Genomic DNA, 8,456 nt, shown 5'->3' with positions numbered 1-8,456 from the left:
TGTACATATATCGGTGAAATAAATGAATGTTTTGGCATTTGATATATTGGAAGATCCTAGTTGAAGACATGTCTGATTTACGCACTGATTCACATAAAATAGTCCACTCCCACCTTTCCCACCTCCATTCTTTGTTCTTTCTATGACCAGCTCTGTTTCATCTTTCAGAGGTCAGCTCAAACTGACCTCCCCAGAAAGTTCTTCTCTTAATACTCTGCCCTGATATAACAGTTTCTAATAAGTGTTATGGAGAAAATCTCCCAAGAAGAATTCTTTGTTTGGCTGGGTGTGGTGGCTCATGCTGATAATCCCAGCACTTTGGGAGGCCTGGGTAGGTGGGTCACTTGAGGTCACGAGTTTGAGAACAGCCTGGCCAACATGGTGAAACCCCATCTCTACTAAAAATACAAAAATTAGCTGGATGTGGTGTCACACACCTGTAGTCCCAGATGCTTGGGAGGCTGAGGCACAAGAGTCGCTTGAACGCGGGAGGCGAAGGTTGCAGTGAGCTGAGATCATGCCATTGCACTCTAGCCTGGGCGACAGAGCAAGACTTTGTCTCAAGAAAAATAATAATAATTATTTGCTTAACTTTGTATTGATTGTTTTCTAGCCAATACACACAAATTTCCTGAGAGCAAGGATCTTCTCTGTTTTGTTCACTTTTGCATCCCCAGTGCTTAAAACATTATCTGGCGCACAGTTGGCACTCAAAAAACATTTGTTAAATGAACGAATGAGTGAATGAATGAATGGGTAAAAGTAGCCTTCTGCAATGCCACCCACCAGTTGCATTCCAGCAACCTGAGGCTTTACCAACAACTCAATACCCTGTGATGCTAAGGACATCACTCTGTTCAGAAAGGAGAGAAAAAGAAAACTTCCTTTCAATAAGCCTTCCCCCCAATACCCCTTTATACTGTCTTAGTCAAGAATCTGGCTTTTCCATTCTTATCTAATGCCAAGAATAGGTGTGTGCCAGGCCAAGGTATTGTACATAGGCTTAATTTGGAGTTATCTTCCATTTCTGGAGGCTAAAACAGGAGCACTACACAAATTCATTGACAGCAGGAGATTAGGCCCAAACACACATTTTTAAAAACAGAAATTGTTTATACACTAGATTTACATTAAAATACACACAAGATTTTTCTAAAGATCAGTTGCCATTTTGGAGGTTCAGGGCTGTGTGATTTAATTTTTTAGGTAGCTAACATAAGCAAAATACATATGGAGGGAAGCTCTGTTTTAAACGTGGGCGGGAAGCAAAATTAAGTCCTGTACTACGTACCACATTTTAGCTATACTAATTTGCTCAGTTTCATGGGCCTCATTTTTTTTCTAATTATCATTAGGAGTATAAAATGAGTGCATGTGAAGTACGTTTCTTCATGAGTCCAGATTTCTAAGGGTCTCGTATAGTAATATGTACAATTTAAAATGTATTTCCAATTACAATAGTTTCAAAACTCTATGAATACAGTACAATAATGGATTTTTTTTTCAAGCAAAAACCAGCTAAAGTCTAGCTCATATATTTGCCATTTTCATTTCTGACCCCTTTCTGCAGATGTGGGTCCACGAAGTCATGATTCTGCTGAATTCGTTTTCTATTACACTTCCTAGAACAGTGTTTTGACCACGTCTGATTATATAGCTCAACTGGAGTGGAGGAAATTACCCGATAATTTAGAAAAGAATTCCCTTTCAAAGCCTGCAGGAATCTGCTCTTCAATTTAGAAAGAAATTTACAGAATCAGGTTGTTTGTGTGAGTTGTAAGTATTGTTTAGTGTTTTGACCCAGGGTTGCTTGATATGTCATTCAACCAAATATGATTTTATATCTGCCTCTTTTTCCTCCTCTCTGTGATATGAATTCAGATCAACTCAGAATATCTTCTCTGCCATCAAGTCTTGCACAGTCTTTCTCTCTATAGTGTTATTATACATTTCCAGTAAATGTATTCAAACCAGAACTATAATAAACAAGATTCCCACTTATAACTTTGCTTAAAGTAAGAGATGAGAGCATTTTCTATTTTCATAAGACTGCTTTTTAAAGATATTTCCATTTTTAGAAAAAGAAAGAAAAAAATCACAAATGCATATGTTAACAACCTGTGTTGATTGGAAATGCCCGAAGGTGTTTGTGAAATGGAGCCTTCATGAGATCAATCTTACTTCCTTTTATGTCTTAAACTTCATCTTCATTGCAAATTGCCTAGCCCTTGTGGAAGATTGCTGTTGGGCACACATACGAAGAGGTTAATTACTACCTTATCTCCCACACATTTCTCTATTTCACAGCATCTAGGCTTTTTCTCTGTTACTCAGTGGGGATGCATTAGATTTTGTCCTTCAATTGCTGAAAAGGATTCTGGCTCTATACAGAACTTGGAATAGACCTTCCACACAGCATCATCACACTTTCTGCTTTTGCCATGCTCCCAAGATCAACCTTTTAACATGAAATGCTAGGCACTCTATGTTCACCAATAACTACAATATGCAATTCTGTCTAGTGAGATCAGGTTGGTACATTGGCAAAATAAAACATCAAACTGCAATGTCAGGAATGGTCACTCGGCACAGCAGACAGGGAAGAGTGTGGAAAAGGAGATGACTGACTCTTCCTGAAAGGCTTAGGATATACGAGACTGGACTTTGAAAGGAGGCAAAGGGAGGAAGGACATTTTGCAAGGAGGGCATAAAATATGTGAAGCCATGATAACCTCAGAAATATAAGATTTAGTTGGAAATATGAAAACGTATATAATATTTTAGCATCTCAGGGCTCAGGTGGGGGAATGAGAGTATCACATTTGAGAGCAAGGATCAAAACATAGGGATATGTCATAAAATTTTCAGATCTTATCAATCCATATTCACAGAGTAGACCAGAAAAAAATCTTAATAACTATTTATTTCTGTAATAGAAAGAATACAGGGCTTGAAATCAGAAGTCCTGTGTTCTCACCTGCCCACTGAGTTATTTTGGGCAAACCGTCTTCTCTTTGGCCTTAATTTCCTCAACCGAGCAATCAGGACAACATAATCATTAATATCCTAAGTCTTTTTGTAAATTGTATGCAAGTTGAAAGAGTTTTGAAATTTAAAAAATTCCATTCAAATGAATGTTCCTTCATATTACTCATCTACTCTTGAATATTTGACTGCTTACCACGTATAAGGCATGGAGCTACGCATGGCCAATTTATCAGTAAGCAAGACAAGCAGATAGGACTCCTTGTTTTCGAAGCTCAAGATTCTCTTTACTGTCACCTGTAATCTGAGACCTGTAAAAGACAGAGGGAGAAAGTGTTTCAGGCAGAAGAATCAGAAAATATAAAGACCCAAAAGCAGAAATGACATTGGTATAACACACACACACATACGCATCCGCACACACATGTACAGAAGATGAGAGGGGCTGCAGTGCCCTTCAACTGTTGAGTCCCTTGGGAAAGGACTGAAGCAGTGGAAATTTTATATCCAACTCTTATAATTGCAGCTATAGGACATATGGGCCATGAGGCCAGCGGTGTAGGTGCCATGGCTTTAACCTTTGACACCCTCTCACTAAAACAGAAGAAAAAGTTTGTGTTGCTAGGATACCTCCGCATTCTAGATTCTGCAATGCCTTGAGCCTTTGACTCTTGAGTTTTATGTCTTATTTCATCTGTGAAGGTTCTCAGATGAAAGGAGGGTGTCAGGAAGCCCTGCATTGGCATCTTGCTTTGCAAGATACAGATTGACTTCTCTTATTGCTTCTCTCACTTACGAATTCTCCTTTCCTTTCTTCTACTTGGTTGCAGAAGTTCTTTATACAAATGTCATATTGGGTGAACAATGGCAAATGTGTGCTAAGTTAAGTGCCAGTTCTGCCCCATTGTGGCAGCTGCCTAGAAAACTGTGTGAAGAAACATTCTAAGCTAAGGTAAAGGGCACATCAGGCAGTGGGAGAGAAAACTAGTCAACATCTTTATTGAATTAGGTCAGTAACAAAGTGGCAAACTTGGGCTAGATCTTTCTTAAGGAAATCTGCTTTATTACCCCTTTTAAGATTAAAATCACAATCAGATTGCTATGTTCTTGAACATATTTCATTTTCAATATATTTTGTTAGGTGCCAGATAAAAGAAAACTTATCATAGTTGCCTTAAGTAACAAACATTACTGCCAAGAGTGTGGCCTAAATGACCACAGGTATTAATATTATTGCTTATGGTAGTTTTTTCCCTTAATAATAATTTCACATAGCCCACCACTGATATTCTCAGCTTCTTGGACATTAAGCAAATGACTTAACATTTCCTAGCCTGCATTCTTAGCTGTATTATGGGGGTAATAATAGAGCTTACCTCCTACATTTGTGAAAATTCAATGAGAAAATTCCCTTAATATACTTGCAATAAGACTAACACTTAAAAATTCCTTAGTAATTTATTAATAAAATTTAAATATAGTGATGATAATCATATCTCCTATGCTTGTGAAATTAATTCTCCCCAATTTCAACCCCAAAAAGGAGAAACTAGCCAATTCCTAAATCTAATCTCATAAAATAGGGTAATCACATATTTGAGACTTGTTTATTTACTCCAAAACCCACTGGACTTCTCCACCCAGCTGTCATTAGAAGAAGTTAATTAACAAGACATTCATGATTTCTGCCACTCTCTGTCCCTGTTTTCTTTTAATCCAAGTTTGGCTTCCATTACATCTCCTTCCTATTTTGTGTATGTGCTACTTTTTCTCAACTGTAGTAGATGAAACTAAGAGTTAAATCATTCAGAATTAATCTTTATAAGAAAGAAAAAATAATAAAATAAAATATAATTTACAAGATAGCTTAACTTTGTGGAAATATAGGTAAATCTAATCTGAATTGAAAGAGTATTTATAAAACGGACAAATTAGTTTAATGTATAAGTTACTAATTTATTATCTAGGTATCAATTGTTGTATTTCCATGTTTTGACAGGGTCTAGATCAGTGCTGTACAATACAAATAATAGACCAAGATACATACATAATTTAACTATTTTAGTAGCCTCAGTAAAAAAGTAAAAAGAAACCTATGTAGTTGTAACAATATATTGTGTTTAATGAAGTATATGGAATATATGATTCTTTTCAACATGTTGTCATTAGATAATGTATTCATGAAATATTTTAGGTTCTTTATATATTAGGCCTTGAATATGCAGTTCTGCCTTTTATACTGTTAGCATATCTCAATTAAGATGCTGCATCTTCATCAAAGAAACTTAATCTGTACTTAGATTTTCTAAGATTTGCAGCTGAAGAAGTAAATCCGTATGCCCTAGTGTTCCAAACATATTTTAAATTTTTCAGTAGCTGAATAGAGTGCCCCCAAATAATTTTCTTTGGATATTCACATTGACAAAACTAAATCAGCATTTTAAGAAGAACTGATATGACTTTGAAGCAAAAACCAATTAATTTCAAAACTATATATTCCTAGTTAAGTAAATTGACGAAATCTTGGGTCAACTCATTATTTTAAACATCAAATTAAAAGAAGTGTTAAATAAATTGAAAAGCAATACTACATATATCAATATCAAAAAGTATTCATCATTTTCTCTTGTAGCTTTATAGTCAATTTACATGATGCCATTGTTTACAAATACAGTCTTCTGCGCTGATTCTCATTACACAGTGTAGTAAATCATAGCCAATTATCTGTTTTATGAAGAGTTTCAAGTCTAACATAAAGTCTCTTCCATAGCAAAATCATGAATAAGTTTACTTTTTCCTTGGAGCTTCACATTTATCTCTTTAATATTCAGCTTAATGTCAACAAGAAAACATAAAATAGGCTGTTGTTTTTATCTTTGATTATTGAAGATTTGGCAAACATTCTTCTATTTCAAGAAAATTTTGAATTAAAATTAACAGTACAGTAGATCTTTGTGAATTGCTTGACTTCTCAACCAATGACATAGCAAAGAACATGAGACCATTTAATTATCTTTTTATAAGCATTTCTGAAATATTTACATAAATATATCAATGATATTTTTCAGAAAACTAAATTTACTTTTTTTTTTTTTCTGGAGACAAGAGTCTCACTCTATCACCCAGGACAGAGTGCAGTGGCACAGTCTGGGCTCACTGCAACCTCCCCATCCTGGGTTCAAGTGATTCTCATGCCTCAGCCTCCCAAGTAGATGGAATTACAAGCATGCACCACCAAGCCTGACTAATTTTTGTATTTTTTGTAGAGACGGGGTTTCACCATGTTGGCCAGGCTGGTCTCGAACTCCTGGCCTCAAGTGATCCACCCGCCTCAGCCTTCCAAAGTGCTGGAATTACAGGAATGAGCCTCCGCACCCAGCCTCTAAATTTACTGTTGAGTGACACAAGGTGAACATCAGTCTCTTGCTTTAAATTATAATAACTTTAATTTTTAACTTAGCATAGTTGGAGCATCATTCATCTTCATAGAAACTTTGGAAAATAATTGAAATTATTTTTCAGATGCAAACATTTCAAATGTATGTGTGTCATGAGTTCAAATTTTTAGGCCATGAATTGACTTTTTTTTGAATTTGGAAGTCTTTTGATTAAAATGTACTCAGATATTAATTAGGCAGTATCTCTTATAGCAAGACCAAGTTAAACTAATTTTGAGTCAAGTGATAATTGATATTGTTAGAAATATTTTACTTTTTACAGGCAATTATTTGCTGGCTTAATCGAGGATTCGTCATTTTAAGTGAAACTTTTAAATGTTTTCATTGTAAGAAAATTTCAAAATAATTATTGCTTTTGCCATCTGTCTATCAAAAAATGATTTTCTTTTTTCGTGTACAAACCCAACCATTTTTACGTCTGGTCAATATTACAAGGCCATATCATTTTATAAGTCATTATGATTTTTGTCATTATTGGACATTTATTTATGATTTTAAGCAAACAAATTTGTCAATTCTATTCTGACTCTTGAGAGAAACAATTTTTAAATTTTATCTAGTTTATTCTCGTAATTTTTTAACATTACAAACAAATGGTGTCTTCACTCTGCCACAGTAAATTGTATTTGCTATCCAATGTGATTTTTTTGTATATACCTATTTCTCATTTCATTTTTTTCTTCAGTCTTCTACATAGATGATATGGTTTGGCTGGGTCCCAACCAAATCTCATCTTGAATTGTAGCTCCCTAATCCCCACATGTTGTGGGAGGGACCTAGTGGGAGGTAACTGAATCATGAGTGCAGGTTTTTCCCATGCTGTTCTTGTGAGAATAAATAAGTCTCATGAGATCTGATGGTTTTGTAAAGGGCAGCTCCCCTGCACATGCTCTCTTGCCTGCCACCATGTAAGACATGCCTTTACTCCTCTTTCGCCTTCTGCCATGATTGTGAGGCCTCCCCAGCCATGTGGAACTGTGAGTCCATTAAACCTCTTTTTTAAAAAAAATGACCCAGTCTCAGGCATTTCTTCATAGCAGTATGAAAATGGATGAATACAACATATCACAGCTACTCTGCTGCATTTCCACTCAATTATGCATCATGGATATGCTTTTGCTTTAATCTAAAAATGTGTTCATGCTTTTATGCTGGAAACATTTACTTTATATTAAAATAATAAGTACCCCAATATAATTACCAGTTACTATTGCATTGGTGCCACCATAACTCCTGTTTTCTTCATAAACTGTTCAAATAAACGTGTTCCAACACATTAGAGACATACCTACAAAAGGTCATTTAAACTGAAGCAATCTATTAACATTGTCTAGATTAGTGATGGGTTTTTTTTTTTTTTTTTGAGACGGAGTCTCACTCTGTTGCCCAGGCTGGAGTGCAGTGGCACAATCTCAGCTCACTGCAACCTCCACCTCCCAGATTCAAGCTATTCTCCTGCCTCAGCCTCCCAAGTAGCTGGGACTACAGGCACTTGCCACCACACCTGGCTAATTTTTTATTTTTTAGTAGAGTCGGGGTTTCACCATGTTGGTCAGGCTGGTCTCAAACTCCTGACTTCATGATCCACCCGCCTCGGCCTCCTAAAGTGCTGGGATTATAGACGTGAGGCACCATTCCCAGCCAGTGATGTGTTTTACATAATATTTCAAGTAACACACATGTGTATCATGCATACCACATGGAACAATATCTTTTGTAACATATATACATCAAATAAAGTCAAATGCACACCTGAGGGAGCAAGAAAGATACGTTCAATGGAAAAATAAATCATGCTGCTTCCTTTTTTAATGTAAATGTAAATTAATTGAAATGAAAGCAAAATAAGAAATGCAGTTCCTCAGACACATAGCCATATTTCCTGTGTTTGACAATCATATGTGGTTAGTGGCTACTTTCCTGGTTATTCCAGGTCAAGATCCTGTCATAGCTAGACAACAAGGACTTAATAGAGTGGCCATAGGTGATTAGTATCAAGTATATACTTACAAA

The 8,456-nt window shown here is 35.9% G+C and overlaps 1 long non-coding RNA gene across 1 annotated transcript; it reads right to left on the bottom strand.

The window, feature by feature from the left end:
• Window positions 1-2,061: 2,061 nt before the first annotated feature.
• Window positions 2,062-3,564, bottom strand: LOC105371309 (uncharacterized). Its single transcript, XR_933670.2, has 3 exons — window positions 3,410-3,564; window positions 3,182-3,296; window positions 2,062-2,241 (listed from the first exon to the last, which is right to left on the bottom strand). It is a non-coding gene; the product is annotated as an uncharacterized LOC105371309 (long non-coding RNA).
• Window positions 3,565-8,456: the final 4,892 nt, after the last annotated feature.

Source organism: Homo sapiens, chromosome 16, assembly GCF_000001405.40.
Source record: "Homo sapiens chromosome 16, GRCh38.p14 Primary Assembly".
Lineage (NCBI taxonomy): Eukaryota > Metazoa > Chordata > Mammalia > Primates > Hominidae > Homo > Homo sapiens.
This window is presented reverse-complemented; position numbering and strand designations above follow the sequence as displayed.